At 45.3% G+C, this 27284-nt stretch overlaps 1 protein-coding gene and 1 pseudogene across 17 annotated transcripts in view, besides 4 other annotated features; both read right to left on the bottom strand.

Annotated features, from left to right (window-relative positions):
• Positions 631-796: a silencer, noted in NCBI's record as "fragment chr21:33891510-33891675 (GRCh37/hg19 assembly coordinates)". NCBI's record gives its function as "represses an EF-1alpha promoter that drives an FKBP-Casp9 reporter gene in an ReSE screen in phorbol 12-myristate 13-acetate-treated (for megakaryocytic differentiation) K562 erythroleukemia cells {active_cell/tissue: K562(+PMA)}" and the evidence as "EXISTENCE:reporter gene assay evidence [ECO:0000049][PMID:32094911]".
• The window catches only part of EVA1C (eva-1 homolog C), a 103665-nt gene continuing 80989 nt past the window's right edge, over positions 4609-27284 (bottom strand). For 7 of the 17 annotated variants that reach the window (XM_017028420.2, NM_001320745.2, NM_058187.5 and 4 more), the window contains 4 exons: positions 24826-24969; positions 18501-18581; positions 15981-16070; positions 4609-5182 (listed from right to left, as the gene is read on the bottom strand). In XM_017028420.2, the coding sequence (XP_016883909.1) occupies positions 4806-5182; positions 15981-16070; positions 18501-18581; positions 24826-24969 (692 nt within the window). In that variant the 3' untranslated portion in view covers positions 4609-4805. Of the gene's footprint in view, positions 5183-15892; positions 16071-18457; positions 18582-24825; positions 24970-27284 lie in introns of those variants that run through there. The other 10 variants (NR_104472.2, NM_001286556.2, XM_047440933.1 and 7 more) reach the window with 6 other exon arrangements.
• Positions 21946-22114: a silencer, noted in NCBI's record as "fragment chr21:33870192-33870360 (GRCh37/hg19 assembly coordinates)". NCBI's record gives its function as "represses an EF-1alpha promoter that drives an FKBP-Casp9 reporter gene in an ReSE screen in HepG2 liver carcinoma cells {active_cell/tissue: HepG2}" and the evidence as "EXISTENCE:reporter gene assay evidence [ECO:0000049][PMID:32094911]".
• EXOSC3P1 (exosome component 3 pseudogene 1) lies at positions 22428-23184 on the bottom strand (annotated as a pseudogene).
• Positions 24051-25250: an enhancer, noted in NCBI's record as "CDK7 strongly-dependent group 2 enhancer chr21:33867056-33868255 (GRCh37/hg19 assembly coordinates)". NCBI's record gives its function as "activates an origin of replication core promoter dependent on BRD2, BRD4, P300/CBP, MED14 and CDK7 cofactors, with strong dependence on CDK7, by STARR-seq in HCT116 cells {active_cell/tissue: HCT116}" and the evidence as "EXISTENCE:reporter gene assay evidence [ECO:0000049][PMID:35650434]".
• Positions 26105-26694: an enhancer, noted in NCBI's record as "H3K27ac hESC enhancer chr21:33865612-33866201 (GRCh37/hg19 assembly coordinates)". NCBI's record gives its function as "activates a minimal SCP1, AML or CMV promoter by ChIP-STARR-seq in primed H9 embryonic stem cells {active_cell/tissue: H9 hESC(primed)}" and the evidence as "EXISTENCE:reporter gene assay evidence [ECO:0000049][PMID:30033119]".

Genomic DNA, 27284 nt, shown 5'->3' with positions numbered 1-27284 from the left:
ACAGCAGGCAGCTCATGGATGGAAAGTCAGCATTAGCAGCAAGTAGCTGAGCTAGGGACGTGCGAACCTCCCAGAGGGAACTGGCTTCTTTTCACAGGGCTCCTGAGACCCCACAGCTTGGAAACTGTGGGGGCTCTGCTGCCCAGAAAGCACAAAAGCAAGAAGTGGCAGCCCATATGAGCCCGTGGTCCCTGGGAGGACTTCCACCCGGGAGCTTCCTCCCAGCAGCTTCCTCCCAGCCACCACAGTCCATCAGCAGTCTCTCATCCAAATCTGCTCTGGTCATTTTCCCGCTGGACTTTGTGCCAAGCCAAACACAATCTCAGCAGGACCCTTCAGCCTCCTTCCACAACAAGAACATGGCATTCTTCTTTGGGGCTCTGAAAATGCAAAGAAATATCTCACTGTATCTGCACAGGCCAAAGACTGACCCTCGAGTTGGCAAGCCTGTTGACCAGCTGCCTCTGTAGGGATCCTGGGAGGGTGTGTGTGTGTGTGTGTGTGTGTGTGTGTGTGTGTGTGTGTGTGTGTTTGTGTGTGTAAGCATGCATGCTGGGGGCTAATGGGGGGAAATTCAGATAAGCGAAAACCCATTGTGGAATCCAAGAAAACCATGTGACTGAGGCCAATATGGGCACAGCTCTTTCTTCAACTGGTAACGTGAACATCTGCAGCCCCAAGCAGACGGTCATCAGCCACCAGCTGGACAGCATTTGTGTTCATGGGGACAGGGAAGATGCTGCCTTCAAACTGGAAATAGAGACAGACAGCTGCTCTGGGAGCTGGGACATTATCAAAATGCTCCTTGCTGAACTCAGGGACATGAAAGGACAAAGATTCTCTTTGATTAGAACAAAATCGTTATGAAATAGTTGGACAATGGAATTCACTGCATTCTCTGATATGATCTGGAATAGATTTCTCTCCAGGCCAGGCACAGTGGCTCATGCCTGTAATCTCAGCACTTTGGGAGGCTGAGGCGGGAGGATCACTAGAGGTCAGGAGTTCAAGACCAGCCTGGCTAACATGTTGAAACCCTGTCTCTACTAAAAATACAAAAATTAGCAAGGTGTGATGGTGAACACTTGTAATCCCAGCTACTCAGGAGGTTGAGACAGGGAGAATCACTTGAACCCGGGAGATGGAGGTTGCAGTGAGCTGAAATAATGCCACTGCACTCCAGCCTGGGCAACAGAGCAAGACTCTCTCAAATAAATAAATAAATACATAGATAGATTTCTCTCCAATGACAGATTTAACCCTTCTCCCATTTGCCCTGAGAATACTCACGAGTGGCACTTGAGGCTGTAGCGTTTACTCCGAGATAACTTTTCCAGGAAATCTCTCTTTTATTATTATTTTTGCATTGCTCTTGTACATTGACTTTGGAAACAAAAGACATCATTCTGTTTATAGCATTCTGTTTTTAGTAGAGGTATCTCCATTTATAAAGTGTAGTAATCCTCGATTGCTGAAAATGTCAAATCCTAGAAAATGTAGCATTCCCATGCCTGAGGTTAACGTCATTCTCCAACAGTTGTTGGCTGAAGATTCATTTGATGAATTTAGTTTTTCTGAAATAGATGATTCTGTTGTTAGTTCTGTTTAGAAATAACTCCAAGAACACTTTTTCTTTTCTTTTTTTTTTTTTTTTTTTTTTTTGAGACGGAGTCTCACTCTGTCTCCCAGGCTGGAGTGCAGTGGCGCGATCTCAGCTCACTGCAAGCTCCACCTGCTGGGTTCATGCCATTCTCCTACCTCAGCCTCCCGAATAGCTGGGACTACAGGCACCCGCCACCACACCCGGCTAATTTTTTTGTATTTTTAGTAGAGACAGGGTTTCACCATGTTAGCCAGGGTGGTCTCGATCTCCTGACCTCGTGATCCACCGACCTCGGCCTCCCAAAGTGCTGGGATTACAGGCGTGAGCCACTGCGCCCGGCCCCAAGAACGCTTTTTATATTTTATGTTCACACTGAAAATCAGTCAGATTTGCTTCGGCCTCAAAGTGTGTTTATGTAAAATTAAATGAGCGCTGACAGTGAGTCGCGTTTTTTTTTTTTTCCTAAACGGGGAAAGGGTTAAAACACATCATCCTCAACCCCTTCAATTTCTCCCTATGGGAGAAATTCCGGTACCTGGAAATCCTGAGGAATTTCAATCTCCACCCAAACCACCCCCAGCCCATCTGTATGACACCTCTCTTGGCCAATCCCTGCTCTCCCACCTGCAGGGGGCCTGTGTAAGGGAAGCTTGCTTTGAAATTGGCAGGTGTGGAGGGTAGAAGAGGGGGTGCCATTCTGACCCATCTTGACTTTCCCCTTCCTTCCACTGAGTGGACACACAGGATTTCCCACCAGCTCTGTCTGTAGTTGCTGCTTTGTGCTGGTGAAATGCCACACATGAACGTTCACAGCAGCACTATTCACAGTGGCCAAAGGAACCAGCCAAATGTCCACCAGCTGATGGCTGGATAAACAAACTGTGGGCTAGCCGTACAATGGAATATTATTCAGCCCTGAAAAGGAATGAACACATGCTACACTTGCTACAACATAGATGGATCTTGAGGACGTTATGTTAAGTGAAATGAGGCAGTCACAAGAGACTACATGTTGTGTGATCCCATCTACATGAACTATCCAGAACAGGCTAATCCATAGTGACAGAAAGCAAATTGGTGTTTTCCAGGGGCTGGAGGGAGGGAGGAATGGGGAGTGACTGCTTAACGGGCAGAGAGTTTTCTTTTGGGGTGATGAAATGTTTTGGAACTAGATAGAGGTGGTGTTTGCACAACATTGCAAATGGACTAAACGTCATTGAGAGAGTTAATTTTACATTATGTGGATTTCAACTTACTAAAAATGAATGCCAGAGTGGCAGCTGAGCCTCCTCACTCCACACCCACCCTCCTCTGCATCCTGCAGATAGGCCCTTCACCCTTATGGTCTGCAAGACTGAGAGAGACATGCCTTCTCCATACCTGTCACTGTAGGAGTTCCTGTGGGAACAGCTATGTTTCCTGAGCACTCAGGACGAGTCAGTCCCAGCACTTCCCAGCTGTGTGACGTGGGCTGGACGATACTTACCCTGGCGGCCTTCAGCTTCCTCATCTACATATGTTTATAGGGTTAGTGATGACGAAGTAAGATAATAAGATAACAGAGAGAGAGCTCTTTGGTAATAGGCATATGAAAAATGCAATCATGTTTATATTCTAAGCCCCTGGGATTACTAGGACAAAAAAGAAAAAAAACATGTTTTCTTATTTGATGCCACAGCTATAAGCCTCCTGTCTACCAGGGAGAGCCGTCTGCAGGAACCAATAATAAGTTCTCCCACTGGGGTCTGTTTTCTGAACTCTTTCTTCTGCTCCTCCACCCAGCCCTCCCCAAGTGGGGTAGGACCCTGTTTTTGGAGAGATTTGGGAGCCAGCTCCACTTGATCCTGGCCCACAGCACTGTTAGGTACCCTGGTTGATGGCTATTACCACCAGGGGCTCTGCTGTTTTAAACTCTAAACCAGGAGTCAGCAAACTTTTTTCTATAGAGGGCAAGAAAGTAAATATTTTAGGTTTTGCAAACCATACTTTATTTACAAAAACAGGTTACAGGCCAGCTCCATCCTGCTGTCTGTTTTTGTACAGCCTTTGAGTTAAGAATGTTTTTTTACATTTTTATTTATTTACTTTTATTTAAATTTTTTTTAATTAAATAGAGGTAGGGTCTTACTATGTTGCCCAGGCTAGTCTCGAACTCTTGGCCTCAGGCTTTTACATTTTTAAATGGCTGGTTTAAAAAAAAAAAAAAAAAGAAGAACGTGGAACATGTGAAAATAAAATGAAATTAAAATTCAGTGTCCAAAAAGAACGTTTTATTGGAATACAGCCAAGTTCATGCATTATGTAATATCTGTGGCTGCTTTTGAGCTGCAATGGAGAGTCGAGTAATTGTGGCAGAGAGGATTTGACCCACAATGCCTAAAATATTTATCATCTTGCTTTTTTTTTTTTGACAGTTTCTCACTCTGTCACCCAGGCTGGAGTGCAGTGGCACGACCTCAGCTCACTGCAACCTCTGCCTCCTAGGTTCAAGTGATTTCTCCTGCCTCAGCCTCCCAAGTAGCTGGGATTACAGGCGCGCACTACCACACCCAGCTAATTTTTTATTTTTTTGGTAGAGATGGGGTTTCACCGTGTTGGCTAGGCTGGTCTCGAACTCCTGACCTCAAGTGATCCACCTGCCTTGGCCTCCCAAAGTGCTGGGATTACAGGCATGAGCCACTGTGCCCAGCCTATCATCTTGCCTTTTAAGAAAAAGTTTGCTAACCGTTGGTCTAAACAAGTCAGTGGTTAAAATCACTCATGAGCTCATGTTTGCTGAGTATCTGTGTAACTGTTTTACGTGTATATATAGGAATCTTCTGTTTAGTCATCTGTAAAATGGGGGTAATAGTACCAGCTCATGACATTGTGAGGATTGAATGACTCAGAACATGAAAAGCAGTTAGAATAGCGCCTGGCATTATAAGCGCTCAACAAATGTAAATTCTAATTATGTATAACTTATTAATGTATAGACACAAATTCAAAGAAATACAGAAAACAAAGACTCTTCCCTCCTCATTTATTTTGGAATGTGCTAGAAACAGCTTGAAACATCCCTTTAATAGCTTCCTGGCCTCACGAGTGTTGAATGACATGACGAATTCTCCTTCATAGAAGGTACAGGTGAACCAGAACTGGAGGGGCATTTGGGATCCTTCCTTCTTCAGAAAGTGCGATCGCATCAAGATGCATGTGGTTTTCAGTAGAACTGGCCCATGTTTCTTGGGAGCGAGGTGTCCAAACCACTGTTCATCCATATTTCCTGAATGATTTGCTCCCTGCGCTCAATCCTTTCTGCGAGCTCTGCAGCTTCTATGGAACTGTATATAGGATATGAAGTCCTACAGAACCCCGACAGTTCCCCTGGGAAATCAGACTCAGAGGGGTCCTCCTCCTCTTCTTCATCCTCGCTGTCCTCCTCGACCTTGTCACTTCCTGGCACCAGCTGCTCCCTCCCCAGCTGCAAGTCGCGGAAGTCCTTGGCACAGGACTCTCTGATGACCAGGGCGCACAGTGTGAGGGCCAGGCCGATGCAGACACTGGACACGAACAGCAGGGCAGCTCTCTCCGGGTGGGCTGCAGGAGGAAGAGAACATGTCAGGAGCTGGGAGGAGCTGGCAGACTCCACCAGTGCCAAGTCCCACAGAAACAGATGTCTGCCCAAGCAGGGGGCTAATGAAGAATGCCAGTCCAGCATCTTTGAGACTGTCTACACCAAAATAATCATATATCCCCACTGACATTTTTTTTCAAAAAAGCTTTTGCGCCTACGGAGTCAATATATGTATGTGTAGGAGAAAAACACACAGCAGAGGGGCTCAGGAGCCAGACTCCTCTGAGTTCAAACTCAGGTCTGCCACTCAGTAGCTGTGTGACTTTGGGCAAGTTTCATAACCTTTCTGTGCCTTAGTTTCCTCATCTGTAAAATGGGGCATATAGTATCTTCTATCACAGAGTCATTACAGTGAAATGAGTTAATTCCTATAAAGCTCTTAGAATATTCCCTGACACATAGTAAATGCTCAATAAAGTGCTGCTATTATTAGTAGTAGAAGTAGCTCATGAAGAATTAACTTATGTACGAAGTATATATGTGAACCTAAGTAATAATATAATAGATGTTAGCAAAACTTAATTCTGTCCTTTTTCAGATTAAAAAGTAAATATAAATATACAGTCATCCCTTGGTACCCGTGGGGGACTGGTTCCAGGACCCCTCCCCCACACTCCCAGGCTACCAAAATTCACGGACGCTTGAGTCACTTATATGAAATGGCACAGAATTTGCATAAAACCTAAGCACATTCTCCCCTATTCTTTAAATCACTTCTAGATTACTTGTAATAGCTAATGCAATGGAAATGCTAGGTAAGTAGTTGTTACCATGTATTGTTTTGGGAATAATGACAGGAGAAAAAATGTCTGTACATGTTTGGTAAAGATGCAACTATCCATTTTAAAAAGATATTTTCAGTCTGAGGTTGGTTGAACCCATAGATGAGGAATCCATGGATACAGAAGGCCAACTGTAATATAAAATACAAAAATATGCTGGGTGTCGTGGCTCACGCTGGTAATCCCAACACTTCGGGAGGCCAAGGTGGGTGGATTGCTTGAGTTCAGGGGTTCAAGACCAGCTTGGGCAACATGGTGAAACCCCATGTCTATTTAAAAAAATACCAAAATATATCTGGGCATGGTGGTGCGTGCTTGTAGTCCTAGCTACTAGGGAAGCTGAGGTGGGAGGATCACTTGAGCCTGGGAGGTCAAGATCATATCACCATACTCCAACCTAGGTAATAGTGTGAGACCCTGCCTCAAAAAAAAAAAAAAAAAAAGAAAAGAAAAATATTAAAATAAATAATATAAATATGTATATTATTTATAAATATTAATAATATAATAAGTATTGGCCGGGCACGGTGGCTCACGCCTGTAATCCCAGCACTTTGGGAGGCCGAGGCAGGAGATAACGAGGTCAGGAGATCGAGACCATCCTGGCTAACATGGTGAAACCCCGTCTGTACCAAAAGTACAAAAAAAAAACTAGCCGGGTGTGGTGGCGGGCGCCTGTAGTCGCAGCTACTCAGGAGGCTGAGGCAGGAGGATGGCGTGAACCCGAGAGGTGGAGCTTGCAGTGAGCCGAGATCACGCCACTGCACTCCAGCCTGGGCAATAGAGTGAGACTCCATCTCAAAAAAATAAATAAATAAAATAAAATAATATAGTAAGTATTATAATACTACTATAATGATATTATATCATTGTAAGTATTATAATACTTACAATAATATAGTAACAACTATATTACAATAATAACAACTATATTATTGTAAGTATTATAATGCTTATTATATTATTGTAAGTATTATAATACTTACTATATTATTGTAAGTATTATACAGATGGAAGCCTGTATACTGTAAGTAATATGCAGATCAAAGCTTCATCTCTCCCGACTTCACTTTCATCTTCCTCCCCTTTGAATTTCCCTCCTTTCCTCCCCATCCTGCAGCCCTCCTCTCCCCCGAAATCTTTGAGCCACTGTCCTCTCCAAACCCTCTCCTTCTGTGATGCTGTTAGGGCTTTCAAGGTGGGCCACAACTCAACTTCTCTGTCTTGGAAAATATAAACTTTGAGCCCCACTGCCAGTGATGCTGCCGACCTCAAGGAGTGCTGAGTGTGAGGAAGCTGAATCCCATCCATTTATAGTCTTTTCCAGCCACCCATGGTCAGGCCAGGGACAGATCTGGACAGAAACAATTCCATCCAGCTCAAGCCTCTGAGGTACAATGGTCATCCGTGGCCCCCTCCCCTCCTCTCCCAGTGGTGGTGTCGTGGGAGGGGCCGGGTACCCAGGGCAGACAGAGTAGGGTCACAGCAGAGCAATCAATTCCAGCAGTCAATTCCAGCAGCGACTTGAGCTATAAGTGAAGGAAGTCGAATGGGGACGTTTCAGGTTCCAAGAAGGGAGTAGGGTGCCACAGCCGGTAACTATGGACTTGCTACTGTACCTCTTTTTTCATATTTTGAGGATTCCTGGTGGACTGAATTAAATTACCCATAATCCTTAGGACATGAGACATTCTCTTCATTGGTCAATACATAGCCCTACTTTATGTCTAACGAATTACTTTTTAATACTGTAATTAGCACCAGTGCTATGAATGCACACCCGTATAGGAGCGAGGCCTTGACCACACCTGTGTCTAACCTGTGCTTCCCCATCCCCTTGCCTCCCCCTCAAGGTGACTACCACCTGAATTCCAAGCTCCTTACTCCCCTGTTTCCTTTTTTATATAGTTTTATTTTCCGTCTCTATGTATTCCTAAAATTTTATTTAAAGGGTATAATATTATAGGTAGTGTTGGAGACTTGGTGTTTTTTTTTAATTTAATATCATATCGCTGTAAAATATTTCACTGTCTTGGCTATAATGTAGTTTATTCACCCACTCTCCTGCTGGTGGGTCGGGAACTGTTTATTTGCCTGCTCTCCTGCTGTTGCCAGGTTTCTGCTTTTGTGGATGATCGTGAGCATTCTTGTCAATGTCCCTGGTCAACACCTGCAAGCGTTTCTCTTGGGTACTACCCTAGGAGGTAACTGATGGACTTAGGGCACGTGAGTTTCAATTTTCAGAACTACTGCCAACACGGTGTTCAAAGTGGCTGCAATGTGTGAGAAATCCTGTCAGTCCTCATCTTCTCCAGCACTTGGCTCACATAGACTTTTACATTATTTTCTAATCACATGGGTATAGAATTGTACCTTACGATGGTCTTGATTTGTGTTCCCCTGATCTGTACCTGTCTTCACATGCTTATGTATTTCCTCTTCTCCAAATGCTGGCTCATGTCATGTACCCATTTTTTTTCTGGGTTGCCTGTGCTTTTCCAGTTACATATAAAGGATGTGTATATTTTCTTTTTTCTTTTCTTTCTTTCTTTCTTTTTTTTTTTTTTTTTTTTTTGAGACGGAGTTTTGCTCAGTTGCCCAGGCTGGAGTGTAAGTGGCATGATCTTGGCTCACTGCAACCTCCGCCCCCCACCCCAGGTTCAAGTGATTCTCCTGCCTCAGCCTCCCAAGTAGCTGGGATTACAGGTGCATGCCATCACACCAGCTAATTTTTGTATTTTTAGTAGAGACGGGGTTTGCCATGTTGGCCAGGCTGGTCTTGAACTCCTGACCTCAGGTGATCTGCCCGCCTCAGCTTCCCAAAGTGCTGGGATTACAGGCGTGAGCCACCGTGCCTAGTCCAAGGATGTGTATATTTTCTATAGACTCTTGATGATAATCCTTTGACAGCAAATATATTGTGTATACATATAGATAGAGAGAGAGAGAGGGAGAGAGAGAGAGTCTCCCTTTGTCACCCAGGCTGGAGTGCAGTGGCACAATCATAGCCTGCTGCAGCCTTGAATTCCTGGGCTCAAACAATCTTCTCACCTCAGCCTCCTTAGAAGCTGGGACTACAGGCATGTACTACCATGCCTAGCTAACTTTTTATTATATTTTTTTGTAAAGATGAGGTCTGACTTTGTTGCCCGGGCTGGTCTTAAACTCCTGGCTGAAAGTGATCCTCCTGCCTTGGCCTCCCCAAGTGCTGGGATTACAGGTGTGAGCCATGGCATCTGGTGTGAATATCTCCTGGTAAGTGCCTTGTACTTTCACTTTCATTAAGATGTCTTTCAACCTTGTGAAATTATCTGAAAACCAGGGATGAAACACTGTTCTGCTCCATCTTCCCTGCAGGCACCTGGTCCCCATCCTCCTCTCTTGCCCGCCTTTTCTAGTGAATGGCCGGATAGGAACTATTGCAGGTTTATGGGCCATATGGTCTCTGTTGCAAATATAACAGCTCTGCTATTGTAGTGCAAAAGCGACCACAGACCATATATAAACCATCTTTCCTGCATGGCCTCTATAATCTTTAAGAAACACACATTGGGTCACATCACTGCCTGACTTAAAACTTATAGATGGCCTCTTCCCTCTCCTAAGCTATTAGGTTGGTGCAAAAGTAATGGCGGAAATCGGCCGGGAGTGGTGGCTCACACCTGTAATTCCAGCAGTTTGGGAGGCTGAGGTGGGCGGATCACTTGAGGTCAGGAGTTTGAGATCAGCCTGGCCAACATGATGAAACCCCATCTCTACTAAAAATACAAAAATTAAAATTAGCCAGGGGTGGTGGCGTGCGCCTGTAGTCCCAGCTACTTGGGAGGCTGAGGCAGGAGAATGGCTTGAACCTGGGAGGTGGAGGTTGCAGTGAGCCAAGATCACACACCACTGCACTCCAACCTGGGTAACCAAGAAAGACTCTGTTTCAAAAAAAAAAAAAAAAAAAAAGGAATGTCGGAAATCGCAATTACTTTTGCAATAAAAGTCAACTCCTGACCACAGCCTAGGAAGCCGGCTATGACCTGGCCCTTGTCACCCTCCCCAAGTTCAACTCCCGAGAACTTCCGCTTCCTCTCTGCTCCCCGCTCTAGCCTGCCATTCCTCACTCGTGACACATCAGATACCTGCACACCCTGGTTTTTCTGCATGTGCTCTTCTGTTAGCCTGGAAAGTTCTTTCCTCCCTCTTCATCCAGCACTACTAGATACCTCCCCCTGCCTTAGCCTAGCCAGGTCCCCTGTCATTTAGTCTCAGAGTATCTTGAATGTTTTCTTCACAGCCCAACTTACAATCGTCACTCACTCGCTGAGTGGGTGCCATCCTTTCTCTCCACCTAGAATGCAAGCTTCCTGAGGGCAGGGGCTGGAACCATCTTGCTCTTTGCCAAATCCCCAGTGCCATCCCTGGCACAGAGTGGGCATTATGAAAATATTTGCTGAGTGCATAAAAGGAGGGAATTGTGGATTTAAGCACTCAGCTTGGCGCCTGGGGATGGGGCTCCATAAATCAGCTCCCTTTTTTTCCCTCTCCTCTTCTCCTGGGAGGTGGGTGTCTGGGTTCTCCTGCCAGGAGAGCTTCTCTCCCATAAGACTCCAGGTGCCTCTTGGCCTAGGCCTGCCTCCTGCTAAGTGAGCGCTCTTTAAGGCAAGTCTGCATCAACTCTGCTGAGATGCAGCCACCAGAGATGGACAATATGGGCAATGCTTGGCAAGTCCATGGGAACAAGGCTTCCTAGTCATCTGAATCAACTAGTTTGAAGATACAAACTCACCAGATGTTGGTCAGCTGGAATCTTAGTGATGAGCTGGTCCAACCCCTCTTGTTGTAGCCAAGTCACTTGTGCAAAGCCACCACTTGGCTAGGACCCCAAGCTCAGGCCAGGGCTCTCTCCATGGTCCCAGGCTTTACACTAAGGGAATGTCAACTGTTCTCTAGAATCACTTGGACTACTTTATACTTTTGTGGCTCCTTTTCCTATTCCGTATTCTGGAAAAACAAAGTTTTCCTTGTGATTGAACAGAATCTTCACACTGTGTTTCTGCTGGCATTGTTCTAAATTTAGCCTTGGTTCATCCCCAGCTGGAGTGAATGACTTTAATTTGATCAGCTGTTGCATGCCCATGGGAGCCTCTGAAGGGGGACCTATGGCCTTTAAGGCTCCTTTCCACCCTTAGATCCTGACTTGGGGCAAATGCACGCTCCAGCTCATTCGTGTCCAGATAAGACACCCAGAGGCCATGGCGAGCGTTCCCCCTGTTGGGGCCCTATTGCTGTTGAGAGGATCGAGGCAGCAGTCAGGGCCCGAGAGTTGTCCAGAAGAAAGCACAAAGCATACCAAGTGCTGGTCTGACAGCACTTAGGGGTGTGACAGAAACCTTCTATCATGGAACTAGAGATTGGAGACCGTGGGAACACATCCGAATCCATATCTCCGTGACAAGGTGGTGCTGATTTCCAGTGATTCTCCCTGGTGGGGGAATCACATAGCTCTGACTCTGGAGCGTGTTTTTGTGTTTCTCTTTCAGTATAAGCTTATCTGTGGCCCTAGAGTTCCTCCCTTATGAAACAATTATGCCTCCCAAAACAGGACATCCCAGGCTGCAAGCCTGTCCCTTCTGCCCAGCTTCCTTACCCCTGCGCCCCAGAAGCCCACAGCAGGGCCTGCCAGAGGCTGATGACATATCTGTCACTGTCCCAAGGGGGCAGGGGCAGTGACGGAAATATTAGGCCACAAAAGGCATGCCTGCAGGCACATATGAGGTAAACACCCAAAGCCAGATGTCAATGAAACAGTAATTATGTGGAATAGGAGAGGTCATATTCTCATGCAAGACTGTCTAAATACGTAAGTCCCCTTGGGCACAATCTGCCAGGGGACAATGGCTCATGCTGAGCCAGCTATTACACTGCTTTGCTAAGAACTTCCAACACACACTTACACACACAGATACACACGCACATGTGCATGCACACACATGCATGCGTACACACACGCACCCACACACACACATGCAGGCACACATACAGATACACACACACACAAACACACATACAGATACACATACAGGCACACACGCACACACACAGATACACACATGCACAGATACACATGCACACACATGACGGCACACACGCACAAGCATACAGACACATGCACACACATGCAACACACATACATACATGCACACAGAGATACACATATGCACAGAGATACACATACATGCACACACACGCAAACACATATGCACATGCAGATACACGTATGCACACACATGCACACACACGTGCACATACGCATGCACACATGCACACAGATACACATGCATGCACACACAGGCACACCTGCAAACCCATGCACACACAGATACGCATGTACACACATGTACACATAGAAACACACATGCACACACATATACACATGCACACACAAAAACACGCATACATACAGACGCACACATGCACACACAGAGACACATGCACACAGATACAGACACACGCACACAGACGCATACACACATGCACACATGCACACACGCACACGCATAGACACCTATGCACACACACGTGCACACATACACACACATGCACATGCTCACAGACGCACATGCACACATGCACACACACATGCACACACACACACCACTCCTTTTCCATTTCTCTAATTTCCAATGTTTTTCTATGAGCTTCCTTAGAGTCATGATCTTGATTCTAGAATGAATTCGGGGAGTAAGTCTGTATTATTGAAATGACAGTAAATTCAAACATACCTAAGAAGCTTTTTCAATGTTGGGGAAACCATCTCACAGATCATTCAGATGACCCCAGGAGATGCTTCACCAGGGACCCTTGGACATCCTCCTGTCCCTTCTGCCAACCTCTGTGCTTTAATATCAGGGGACAAACCTCTCGATTTTGGTTTCTCTTCTCCTTGTCCCCATGTACACTGGACTGCACTACTGTGTCAAAGCTACTTGCAGCCTGACCTGGGAAATGTACTTTTGGATTCACTCCATTTGCCGCCTATTTGGGTGGTTTGGGCTGGAAACTGCCCTGCTCACACTCTTGGCTCCCAGCTGCTCCTGCTTTGGGGGTGCCTAGAGACCCCAGCTCATCCCGTGGGTCACATCCCCACAGTGGGGCCGGGGATGCGACTGAGAGTTGTCTGGGCACCTCTCTCCAGCAGCAGTGAGGATGGAGCTCAGCACTGTGTGACATTGGCTGGTGGCCACTGCCTGTTTGGGTCGAAATGACCCAGCCTGATGTCCACATGCACCTCTGTGGCACACTGGCCTGCAGACCCCTGAGCATGCACTGCATGCTTCCCACCTCTAGAGTGGCCACCCAGACAGCGACATAGACACACCAAGAAAACCCACAGGCAAGCCCAGAGGCACCTGTTCTACTAGGGCTTTGTGAGCCTCTGTGATTTGAGTCACGAGCTTCTTGTGGTGATTTCATTTAGCTAACATCCAACACAGTGCATTTAGAGACTCTTTCTCTTGGACATTATATGGAGGCGTGGTCATGGTTTGCTAAGATAAATGTCACCAAACACCCCTCAATAAAATCAAATAACAGCTCATCAAGTCCTTACATTTTAAAAAAATGGACATCTTATAAATAGCAAATATTGGATGACAATAAAGCACAGGAAAAAGCTCATAAGCCCATATCAGCAGTCATCATTCAGTTGTTCCTTAACTACTGACTGTGCACCTGTTCTGTACCAGCACCGCATCCTAGATACAGGGATACCACACAAAATAAGATGACAAGGCACCTGACCCTGTGGAGCTGAGCCACTAGCAGGAGAGATAGTCACTAAACGAATATCTCTATCCTGTGGTTTCTGGGAATGACAATCACATAAAAGGATAGAAAGAGATGGAGGAAAGCTAATTTAGACAACTCAGGATCAGAGTGGGGAGGTGGTTGCATCCCTCAAAATTCAGAGTAGCTGGAGTGCAAGCCTTGTATTAGCTGAGCCTGAATCCTGGCCCTGCCGCTGTCCATGGTGTCCTCAGGCAAATGGCTCAACTCCTCTGACCACCGGCTTCAAGTGCAGAACAGGGGATCAGAGTCCCATCTCTCAGGGTTGTTGCTATGGACTGAATTGTGTTGCCCCCAGTTCACTCATTAGGAGCTAATTAAGGTTAAAGGAGGCCATAAGGGGGGAATCCTAATCTGATAGAATTGGTGGTTTTATAAAAAGAAGAGATGTCTCTGTCTCTGTCTCTCCCCCTCTCTGCCATGTGAGGACAAGCAAGAAGGCTGCTGTCCACAACCCAGGAAGAGAGCCCTTACCGGAAAGTGATTGGTGGATACTTTGATCATGAAATTCTGGCCTCCAGAACGGTGAGAAAATCAATGTCTGTTATTTAGGCCATCTGGTCTCGGGTACTTTGTTATGGCAGCTGGGCTGGCTAAGGCAGTTGTTGAGAGGAACGGACAAGGTAGTTGGGGTAAAGCACACAGCAAGGCCACAGCTCACTGAGCGCAATGTCGGTCTCGTTCCCCTTCAATCGTTATTCTCTGTCTGGAGGATTTTCATGATGGCTTTTCTCCAAGAAGCTCCCCAAGGACTTTGTAAATATGGGGATATTTCTGACAGTAAAAATCCTTACAGTTCTTAACATTGACAATGATCAGGAACAGCAAGACATGAAAATGAGAAGGTGGCTAGAAAAGAGAGGACCCACAGAAGAAACCATCAACCACACAACACACACACAGGAGGAATCCTGACGCAGGAGGACAATAGAACAGCAGGGGACCCCAAGACTGAACTTTGCATCTCATGTATTGAGATCATTCCCCAATATGGTTTGGCTGTGTCCCCACCCAAATCTCATCTTGAATTATAGCCCCCATAATCCACATGTGTCATGGGAGGGACATGGTGGGAGGTAATTGAATCATGGGGTGGGTCTTTCCCATGCTGTTCTGGTGATAGTGAATAAGTCTCACGAGATCTGATGGTTTTATAAAGGGGAGTTCCCCTGCACAAGCTCTCTTGCCTGCTACCAAGTAAGACGTGACTTTGCTCCTCATTCACCTTCCACCGAGATTGTTAGGCCTCCCTAACCATGTGGAACTGTGAGTCCATTAAACCTCTTTCCTTTATAAATTACCCAGCCTCAGGTATGTCTTTATTAATAGCATGAGAACAGACAAATACATTCCCTAAGCCTCTATTTTCCTCTGAGACAGGCTTACCCCAAATAGCCCATCTTTGCAGGCCTTGAATAGCAATACTGTTATGTATTATATTAACATGTATTTTACTGAAGGTCTCTGGTTTTTGTCTCTCTGAACATAGGCAGGCATTGCTGAAACTTGCAGATGGCATTCCAAAATGTGTTCTATCTTAAGATAAGCAGAGAGGGTGGTGAGGAAAAATTGTACATACCTTCCCCTCAATGAAGAGGTCCCCGCGGTGTGGCCGGCCTTGGTATAAGCCTTCTGGCTCTGCTAATTCATGAGGGCTGAGTCTGATTGATCCTCATGGGGAAGACTAACAAGGGAATCCTTGACAACTATTAGGAATAACACTCATGACCCAGAAAGTGGCTCTGTCTTCATGGGGCATGATCTGTCTTGTTTACTAAGTGACCTTCTGGCTCATTTTTCTTCCAGTCAGGGCTGGAATTCAATAATCCTAGTTCCTTCCCGAATTTTAGAGCTGGGAAATGCATTCCTCGGGTTTCTACTTTTCAAAAGCGAAAAATATCTGTGGAGCTCAACTCCTAAATAGTGTGACTTTGTCTGTTTATGTGGTTCTCTTGCTGACTGCCTGGTTACAACTGTGCCTGAACTCAGGCCTCTGTGTTTCTGAATCTTAGAAGTGGTGGTTGGCATGTTAAACTTGAAGTCATCGTCCTTTAGTTATCTGAGTGCTATAATTGAACAGCACATTTATTAACAAGACTTTAGTAAATCCATCAGCATTCTAGGAAGCTTTGATTCATTGACCTACCTCTAATGTAAGCAAAGGCTGCCAGAGAGTTGCTAACAAGAATTCCATCTTTCCTCAGAACCTTCGATCCGCTTGGGTCGAAGTTTATACCTGTTTCATGAAAAATGCAAGACCAATTAATCACAGCTGTTCATAGTACGCCTATTCTAAGACACCCCTGCTGCTCCTACCCCAGGGACCGCCGGAATAATTAAAAGTCACAGAAATCAAACAAATGGGCCTCTGGCTAAATTACAGAAGATTAACCCAGGAAGAGCACTTATTAAATAGTAAGCAGTCCCCGACAATATTAAAGTACAAAAAGGATTAGAAATTGTTTTAAGTGTTGGTTCCAACTTCAGGTGCTGGTCTTCCACTCCACTGTGGAAGGGAATAAGTGGATTTTCCCATCCTAAAGACAGTGACATTCATCACACCCCTCAGAGGCTTAATAATATCTCGCTTTATTTTATTTATTTATTTATTTTTGAGATGGAGTTTCACTCTTGTTGCCCAGGCTGGAGTGCAATGGCACAATCTTGGCTCACTGCAACCATCTACCTCCTGGTTTCAAGCAATTCTCCTGCCTCAGCCTCCTGAGTAGCTGGGATTACAGGCACGTGCCACCATGCCCAGCAAATTTTTGTATTTTTATTAGAGATGGGGCTTCACCATGTTGGCCAGGTTGGTCTCGAACTCCTTACCTCAGGTGATCTGCCCGCCTCGGCCTCCCAAAGTGTTGGGATAACAGGCGTGAGCCACTGCTCCCGGCCAATAATATTTCACTTTAAGCATGGATTTGATGTCTGCTGTGTGGCCAGAGATAAAACAAGCCTCCATTACAGAGGGAGGTTGTATTGGGCTACTTTTTTTGGAAACAACAGCAAAATGTGGGGCAAATCTGCTTTTAAATCCTGGTTACACTGCTGGATGGAGCTTAGCAAGTCTGTGATGGGGTAACCTGATGGCTTGGGGGACTCCTAGCCATGTCAGACAGGACAGATGCCTTTGAGGAGAGACGGCACAGGGTTGGCTCTCAGGCCCCCACTGCAGGGGGACCAGGCTGTTTATGGATCGGGTGGGAACCCTGTTAGAAAAATAAGTGGAAGCTGGGTGCGGTGTCTTACGCCTGTAATCCCAGCACCTTGGGAGGATGAGGTGGGTGGATCGCTTGAGCCCAGGAGTTTGAGACCAGCCAGGGCAACATGGCAAAGCCCTGTCTTTACAAACATAATAATAATAGTTAATTAATTAGTTAAAAGAAAGAGAAGAGGAGCTAAGGAACACAGAGCCTGCCAGAAAGCCAAGGTGGCCAGCTAGAAGGACACAGAAGAACATTACCAATAGTTTTCTTTGAGCTTTTGGAGTAGGGGTGCTTTCATATGGTTTTCATATCAAACATACTTTACTTTTATACTTAGGGGGGAAAGACCTAATACATATAATAAAGGTAACACAAGACAAAACTCTCACCACAGCCTAACATCTTAGATGCTCTACGGGGTCTCTGCAGTTTCTATTAGGGACCCCATGGGTTTGAATTCCATTCTAGATTTGATAAGAAAATCCAAATGCTCAACCCCCTCAACTCCCTACCCCTCCACCCCATTTACAAAAGCCAAGTGAAAACTAAGGAGGGGCCGGGTGCGGTGGTTCACACCTGTAATCCCAGCACTTTGGGAGGCCGAGACGAGGAGAACACCTGAGGTCAGGAGTTCAAGACCAGCCTGACTAACATGGTGAAACCCCGTCTCTACTAAAAACACAAAAATTAGCCAGGTGTGGTGGTGGACGCCTGTAATCCCTGCTACTTGGGAGGCTGAGGCAGGAGAATCGCTTGAACCCGGAGGCAGAGGTTGCAGTGAGTGGAGATTGCGCCATTGCACTCCAGCCTGGGCGACAAGAGCGAAACTCCAAAGAAAAAGAAGAAAAAGTAAGGAAAGAAAGAAAGAGAGAAAGAAAGACAGAAGAAAGAAAGAAAGAAGAAAGAAAGAAAGAAAGAAAGAAAGAAAGAAAGAAAGAAAGAAAGAAAGAAAGAAAGAAAGAAAGAAAAGAGCGAGAGAGAGAGAGGGAGGGAGAGAGGAAGGAAGGGAGGGAGGAAGGAAGGAAGGGAGGAAGGAAACTAAAGAGGAAGGTGGTGTGTACAGAGGTACAGAGGCCCTCAGGTCCTAGTTGGCCCTGGCGCCTACGCAGGTTCCAATGGGCTCAGCTTTGCAAAAAGCTCATTGTGTAACCCAGGAAGCCCAAATTTACTTCTGAGCAGATGTCTTTTCAAAGTGATTTTCCTTTTAGGAAGTGAGAGGAGAATGAAGGGGAGGTTTATCCTACTTCTGATTTTAAAAAAGTCAAAACAAAATAAAATGGTGTTCACCATTTGCAACTATTGGCCGATAATAAGCGCTATTATCACCAGGACCGGTACCTCAAACACACCTCCTGACAGCCCCTTCCATTCTAACCAAGGTGTGCCCAACTGTGGTCACCCAGGGGCTGTTTACCTTTACTTAAAGAGAAATGCTGGTAGTAAGCCATAAAAATTACCATATTCACCATCTTTCTGCTTCAAAGAAGGTTTTAGATTAGCAATGGCTGGATCAATCGCTGTGAGTATGTTCTTGGGAACTAAAAGCCAAAAAAGAAATATTTTAAATTCGTGGTATATTTTTAAAATGTGGACTCTTAATACATTTTTAAATGCAATGTAGATAAGATTTTAAAATCACTTTCCAAATCAGTGCAAGAATCACTCACTCTTCCTGTTAAATACACACATATACACACAAACCCATGGTATCCATGTGATCATCAAATGCTCCAGAGAGGTGGTTTTAGGCCCATTTTGCAATATTAAAAAAAATGGAGAATAAAAACAAGATATGATATATCCATCTAGCAGAATACACCTCATAATAAAACGGAATGAAGGCCCAGCATGGTGGCTTACACCTGTAATCCTAGCACTTCGGGAGGTCGAGGTGGACAGATTACTTGAGGTCAGGAGTTCGAGACCAGCCTGGCCAACATGATGAAACCCCGTCTGTACTGAAAATACAAAGTTAGCTGGGCATGGTGGCACACAGCTGTAATCCCAGCTACTTGGGAGGCTAAAGCAGGGAGAATTTGCTTGAACACGGGAGGCAGAGGTTGCAGTGAGCGAAGAGCGCACCACTGCATTCCAGCCTGAGTGAAAGAGTGAGACTTCATCTCCAAAAAAAAAAAGTGAAGTACCGATATGATACATGCTACAACATGGATGAACCTCTGAAACATCACATTCAGTTAAAGAAGCCAACCACGCACACACACACACAAAACCATCCATTGCATAATTCCATTTGTACAAAATATTCAGAAAAGGCAAATCTAGAGACAGAAAGTTGATGCGTGGTTATCTGGGACCGGGGGGGTGGGAATGGGGCAGTGACGGCAAATGGGCACAAGGGAGCTTCGGGGCATTGTGAAAATGTTTTAAAACTGGAGGGTAGTGATGGTTGCACAACTCTAAATTTACTAAAAATCATTGCATTGTATTCACATGTAATAGAATTTTAAGGAAAATAACACCTCAATAGAGTGGTTAACTCTGGGCTGGGCATGATGGCTCATGCCTGTAATTCTAGCACTTTGGGAGGCTGAGGCAGGTGGATCACTTGAGGTCAGGAGTTCAAGATCAGGCTGGCCAACATGGCGAAACCCCATCTCTACTAAAAGATACAAAAATTAGCCGGATGTGCTCACTTGAACCCAGGAGGCAGAGGTTGCACTGAGCTGAGATTGTGCCACTGCACTCCAGCCTGGGTGACAGAGAAAGACTCTATCTCAAAAAAAAAAAAAAAAAAAAAAAAATAGGGTGGTTAACTCTGAAGATGAGCTTCCCTGGACTTAGTAAAGCAAAATGACTGTGACCAACTCAAAACCCACCATCAAACTCTCCCAGCACCTACTCTTCTGCTTTCTACCCCAAGCTCTTTGCCTCTGTGTTTCCATCGTAAATCTGGAAAGAATTCGAAGACCCTGTGCTAAAGTGATTTGCTAAATATTATCAGAAAGGACTACAGAAAGATGCAGAGAGGATGGCAGCGTGACCGACTCCTCTGAAGGTGGTTTCAGACTCTGCTGAACTGACCCTAAGAATAAGCCCTGGGATGTCAGAATCCCCAGGCAAAGCAGCCGGCAGATGACAGCACCCGCTGAAACAGAGGGCAGAGCAAGAATTCTGCAGGCCAAGCACACTGCCGCAGGCTGGGAGAAGGGAGTGGAAACCGAATATTCCTGCTGCATAAAATTGCTTATTTTTGTTTGTTCCTCAGCCCAGCTGAGATCTCAGAGAAGTAGCAACAGGAAATGGAAAGAAAGCCAAAACAAACTGCAAATTCAATTGCACTGCTTTTTTATAAAAGAACAAGTGAGGCATCTTCAGCAGCAAGAAAACCTTGTTTCCTCTCTCAGAGGGCTTAACTAAATTCTTCTGGGGATGTCCCAGGATCAACAACCACCGGACATTCCTAGATTGTGAGTTTTCCACGTACAGGAGGCCCTGGCGCCTTCATGCCCATCAGCAGCAAGGGAGACTTTCCAGGGAAGCCCGGTGAAGTTGCTGGATGTGGCTGATGATTTCCAGGGCCTTGAGGAATGTCCCTTGGCTGTCCTTGGGGCACACCACTGATCCTGGGACCCTGGCAGCTCCGGAGAGCTGAGCTCAGCTGCTGCAAATTGCTTTCTGCTTTAATTACCTCGCATTCATTTCTGGGCCCTGAGAAGGATGCAGAATCCTAGGAAGTGTCAGCTCTCCCTGCCAGGAGTGGTACTTCTTTCTCATGTCTGCCTCTTGGCTTGTTCTCAAACTATGGCTTCAGGAGGGCCTTGGCTCTTGGCAAATGCCAGAGGCTTTACAGTTTGAGAAAGAATCAGAATTTTGTAGAGGAGCTCAGAGGGGAAGGGCATTCTAGGATGCACTTTGCAGAATAACCAGGCAGTGAAAAGGTTAAATTGGCTGTGTATGACACAGGCCACTGCAGGGAATGTGCCCTTCTACTATGTGAAAATGGCTCTGATATCTGGAGAATCTTTTAGGACCTTTAAAATCACCGTTGTCAACACACTTGTCAGATTTTTGCATCTCCTTGATTCAAACTAGTTCCGAATGAGGTCGGGGACTGGGGTGTGATTGATCACCGTCCTGCTCCACTTCAGATATGTTGGTGAAAACACTAGGGACCACTCTTCATGGAGCTCCTACTGTGTGCAGGACCCTGTTCTCAGCAGTTTAAACCAGGGCCATCTTCCTCCTCATCAACACCTTTCCTCTCCCACTCAGCAACCTCAGCGTCTCGGCCCCTAGTGTGCAGCTAGTGTGCAGCTAGTGTGCATACCCTAGTGTTCACCCTACAGTATGGTTCTCTTTGGAAGAATTAAACCACCACCCCCAAGCTAAATTAGGCCCCCTCCACTGTTACAGTCTTCTGCCCTTTTCTAAAATAGCATTTGTCACAACAGGTCATGATGATGTGTCTGGCTATTTGGTTAATGCTTGCCTTTCTCCCTCAACTGCTCACCCCATGAAAACAGGACCATGTCTCTTTTTTTTTTTTTTTTTTGAGACAGAGTTTCACCCTTGTCACCCAAGCAGTGACGAGATCTCAGCTCACTGCCAACTCCGCCTCCCAGGTTCAAGTGATTCTCCTTGTCACAGCCTCCCAAGTAGCTGGGATTACAGGCATGCGCCATCATGCCCAGATAATTTTGTATTTTTAGTAGAGATGGGGTTTCACCATGTTTTCCAGGCTGGTCTCGAACTCTTGACCTCAGATGATGCGCCCGCCTCGGCCTCCCAAAGTGCTGGGATTACAGGCGTGAGCCACCGCACCTGGCCGTGTCTCTTTGTTTATTACAAAATCCCTGGCACCCAGCACAGCTCCTGACACAAAGAGCAATGTGCTGAATGAGTGACAGAAGGAAGAAAAGCTTGAACTGGGACATGTGACCCCCAGGCCCTGAAAGCTCACCTTCATCTCAGCATTAGTGATGTGGTTTGGCTCTGTGTCCCCACCCAAATCTCATAATTCCCACGTGTTGTGGGAGGGACCTGGTGGGAGGACCCTGTGGGAGATGATTGAATCTTAGGGGCGGGTCTTTCCCGGGCTGTTGTCTTGATAGTGAAAGGGACTCACGAGATCTGATGGTTTAAAAAATGAGAATTTCTCTGCACAACTCTCTTTTTGCCTGCCGCCATCCGCATAAGATGGGACTTGTTCCTCCTTGCCTTCCGCCATGACTGTGAGACCTCCTAGCCATGTGGAACTGTAAGTCCAATTAAACCCCCTTTTTTGTAAATTGCCTAGTCTCGGGTATGTCTTTATCAGCAGTGTGAAAATGGACTAATACAATTAGCTAAGAAGAGCCTCAGCTGTAGGAACTGTTCTTGCCTCATCCTTGAAAGCACACTAGAAACTGCACCTTTAAAAAAAATGTTTTAGTAAATGTTATTGTACAGAATAAAAAAATACATCATGATTCTGTAATGATTTTCTCTCCCACAAGAGCATGGGTGAAAATCAGTAATTTACTTATAAAAATATTTTAATTAGGACTCCAATAAGATAATATGTACCTTCATACCTTGTCTTCTGAATAACTAAATGGGGAGAAGTTCACCTGAAAAAAGTTTTCCCCAGGAAACCCATGGTTTCTTGGCTCAACGGACCCATTAAAAAAGTCCACCTATATCAACTTTCTGCCAATCTGGAGATTTGTTTTCTTTGATCTAATGTCATGTGTTCACAAGCTTCTAAAACATTTGCCAAAATTAAAGTCTGCTGGACGGTTTTTCCCTTAACCCATACTCTTCCATTCATTCCAAATACTATCTTCAGTGGATAGAGTTTTCCCACTTCCTGTTTGATTTCATGATCTGGAGCTAACAGCTTTCTAATGAAGCCCAGTCACTTTAAAAAGCAGACCATCCTGTCCAATGACATTCCTTCCATTGGCTCATCCATAGCTGTCAATACAGACCATCTCTGGTTCCATGTCTTTATTAGCAACCACAAATTGGCCATAGATGAGATCTCCAACCTGCACATTTGGTCTGTTTCTTTTAGTTGCACCTTCAAATGCCAAGTAAGACAAAGAAACTGGCTCACTCCCTCCAACATCAACTCTGAATATATCTCCAGATTTAGCTGTCACTATGCCAGTCACCTGGTCTCCTTTCACTAGAATATACTCCGTTCCCAGGGCTATGGCGGCCCCAGCCCAGCAGTGTCTCAGCTTTCCCGGTCCCCGGCCAAAACTACACCTTATTTGGAGGCTAAAGTTCTGCTTCTTATTCAACACTCTGATGAAGAGGCCTGAAGTTACTGGAACCTCAGTGTGACCCGTGTCCAGTCTACCGTCCTCCATTCTACCAGAGGAGCTATCCAAGGATGTACTCAAAGTGACCTTTTTGGCCTCTGGGGGAACCTCAGCCAAAATGGGCCCCATGCTACTTAGAGTTGCTTAGACATGACAGCAGGAATAAAGACAGAGCAGGTAAAGCCATCCCTCCTGTGATGTAAGAGTGGGTGCCATTATTTTGGTAATACATTTATGTAGTCACTTCATCATATCTATTGCAGCATTGATATTGCAGAGAACAACATTTTTAGTTCAGGATATAAAATTCTAAGGATGCAATGGAATATTATGATGCCACAAAAAGAAATAAAGTACTGAGACATGCTACAACATGTACGAACCTTGAAAACAGATGCTAAGTAAGGAAGCCAGACACAAAGCACCACACATTGTATGATTCCATTTCTAGGAAATGTCTAGAAGAGGCAAATCCATAAAGACAGAAAGTAGATGGGTGGTTGCCTGGGGATGGGGCAGGTGTAATGAATGGGTGGATTTGGTGGGCTGACTGCTAAGGGATACAGGGTTTCTTTTGGGGGGATGCGAATGTTCTTAAACTGATTGTGGTGATGGTAGCACAATTCTGTGCATATACTAAAAACCACTGATTTGTATGCTGTAACAGGTGAATTGTATGCTCTGTGGATTATATCTCAAAAAAGCTGTTGCAGACATAAAATGGCTAGGAATGTTTGGCAGGGGAAAAAGCGATTTCCAAGAGAATAGGTATCAGGTTCTTCAATTATAATGCTCTTTGCTTTCCATTTGCTTTTATGCTCATTTCCAACAAAAAGAAGGCAGTCAACACATTAGGATTACACACTGGAAATCCACAGTATCCTCAGAAAATAATAAACTGCTGATTTGCTTTTACGTGGCTTTATGAAATTAGAATCTAAACGAAGAAGGCATTTCATTTTATCATTTAAAGACATCAGGAAAACAAAGTAATGCTGTCGTGTAACAATTTTTATTGTTTTAGGGTAAGCATTTGATCTGTTGACTCAACACTGTGGGCATGTAGATAAAATAGCTGTTGGCAGTACAGAGAGTTAGTCATTTAGGGCCTAAAAGCAGAACTGGAAGGTTAAATAGGAGACACATAATTCGACTGTGAACTCGCATGACATCCCAATAAATTTTCCCAGATGAAAATCACTGGTCTCAGTGACATCAGTTTACCCCTATTTGGTTGTTCCTTCTCCACCCTCCCCATTGGCTGCCAATCTGATTGCTAAAGGTGCTTTTACACAAATTTTGACCAAAGAAAATTCTATTGCTTATCTGACATGAATATCATAAACAAGAATAAGAAAGAAAAAAAGGGCTCTCGGGTATCTGGGATGACCAAACAGCTTCAGGAGGAGCAGTGTTTGGCTTGTTCTGGGCAAACTCCTGCCGTTCACATGGTCACCACCCTCCCCCAAAAGAGGCAGTGTCATCAGGCAGCTGGTCGGGGGTGTGTTCTTACCACATGCGTAGGTCACAGTGAGGTATTTTTTCACGCCTGGCAAACAGGGGCTTCCAAAATGGTGATTGTTGACGATGATTTTGCATCTCTGCTTCCCATAGCACCTTCGGGATAGGACTTGCAAAGCTGAGTAAGACAAGCAATCTGAAAGGCAGGAAACACCCAGAACTTCAGGTTGCATCCCACACAGGGCCACCACATAGCCTACAGCATTCTCTGTAAATAAATATGCTGAGCTGGATTCAAATCAAATGGAGAGTTTCTCTGCTTATTTTCTGTCTCATTAAAGCACCCAAGATGGGCAGAGCCAGCATCATGATCCTGTCCTAGAAGTCCCAGAGCTGGTTTTAATGCTCTGCTGGCGCCATCTTGAATTTTTTTTTTTTTTTGAAACTGATTCTTGTTCTGTCGCCCAGGCTGGAGTGCAATGGCACGATCTCAGTCACTGCAACCTCTGCCTCCCTGCTTCAAGCAATTCTCCTGCCTCAGCCTCCCCAGTAGCTGGGACTACAGGCGCATGCCACTATGCCCAGCTAATTTTTGTATTTTTAGTAGAGATGGGGTTTCACCATGTTGGCAAGGCTGGTCTCAAACTCCTGACCTCCAGTGATTTGCCTGCTTCGGCCTCCCAAAGTGCTGGGATTACAGGTGTGAGCCACCGCACCCGGTCAAAATTCTGATATATTTTTGAACAAGGGGCTTTGCATTTTCATTTTGCACTGGTTAAAATATGAAGAACATTGAATGAAGATTCTTGGTTCTTTTACGACCTTTACCATGCTTTGAAATATATTATTTGTTTGTTTATTTTGAGAATCAATCTCCTCTACATGAACATAAGCTCCAGGAGAGACTATTTCTGTTTTGTTCATCATCTAATTCTCACACCTCGCCCACTGTAGAAGGCAAGTAAATATCTGATGAATGAATGAATGAAATAAACTAATTGACATGAAGATTTGTTTTTCGGTGCCCTGGCACAACATCATTAAAATCAGTAAATATCAGTTGAACACCTATGGTGGATGAGGCACTGTGCTAAGTACCATCAGAAAAAAACAGTAAAAAGAGGACCAGGCACAGTGGCTCACGCCTGTAATCCTAGCACTTTGGGAGGCGGAGGCAGGCAGATCACCTGAGGTCAGGAATTCGAGACCAACCTGGCCAACATGGCAAAACCCCATCTCTACTAAAAATACAAAAATTAGCCGGGTGTGGTGGCATGTGCCTGTAGTCCCAGCTACTCGGGAGGCTGAGGCACAAGAATTGCTTCAACCTGGGAGGCAGAGGTTACAGTGAGCCGAGATTGTGCCACTGCACTCCAGCCTGGGCGACCAAGCAAGACTGCGTCTCAAATAAATAAATAAATAAATAAATAAATAAATAAATAAATAAATAAAAAGCCTACCTTGCTTTTTACCCAGATGAAAGCATCCTTTCACAGGATTTGCAATAGAGCTAGAGAGTCAAAACACACATGTGAGAGCTGGTGTCTGATAGTGGAAACAGTGAATCACTGTCAGCAGGACGTGGTGCAGACAAGAGGTGCTAGGTCAGAGGCGGGAGAGATCGCTGTGCGTGGGAGCAGAGGGGCTGGATCATGAAAGAAAGAGCAGAAATTGGGTAGAGGCAGGCAAGAGAGAAAGCATGAACACTAAGGCAGTGGGCTAGGAGCCCCTGCAGGGGCTGGCCACAGGCTGGAAAGGCGGGAGTAGGCGGGGCGACCACAGCGAATGAGTAGGAAATGTGAACTGGAACAAGACAGAGACACTTTCAAAGGCTTAGCTAAAGAATTCAGACTTTACTCTGCAAGCAACAGGAAGCCTAAAGAAATGCCTGACACTATTGTCTTTAGGGGACAGTGTAGAGGATTCCCTGGGAGAGAAACGGGAACCAAAGGCAAGGAGAGCAGTTTGGAAGCAATTTTAAGAATGTACATTGAGGGGAGTTACAGGCTTAAAGAGCAAGGAATGGAAGAGGAGAGAATTTTAGAGACTTTGCAAAGTTCCATTCACTTATAATATAACAGGTAGCATGATGTCAGCCACTGCTCTCAGCACTTGTATAGTGAGAAACTATGTTTGTTTTGGTCATCATCTAGTTCCCACACCTGGCCCACTGTAGGAGCCCAATAAATACAGATAATTATTTATGAGATAGGCTGTTTGTAATACACACACTTGTGCATGCACACACACACACACATCAATTTTGTGGCTGAGACAGCAGACACAGAGAGGTTCAGTAACCTCACACAGCTAGAGAAGAGCGGGGCCTGCAGGTTGATCTCTGAGCCCCACTACCCCAGTCTCCATGAAAGGGTGGGTGAGGGACCGACCAAGGATGGTTTCAGATCTTAAGCTGCAGGGCTGGGGAAACAGTGGTGCTACTGAGAGATGAGGGAAGTTGTTAGGAGTAGGCAGTTTGAAGGACACGATCATAAAGTCATTAAAAAAAAA

The sequence above is a fragment of the Homo sapiens genome, chromosome 21, assembly GCF_000001405.40.
Source record: "Homo sapiens chromosome 21, GRCh38.p14 Primary Assembly".
Classification (NCBI taxonomy): domain Eukaryota; kingdom Metazoa; phylum Chordata; class Mammalia; order Primates; family Hominidae; genus Homo; species Homo sapiens.
The sequence above is the reverse complement of the archived record's forward strand: the minus strand, read 5'-3'. Positions and strand labels throughout refer to the sequence as shown.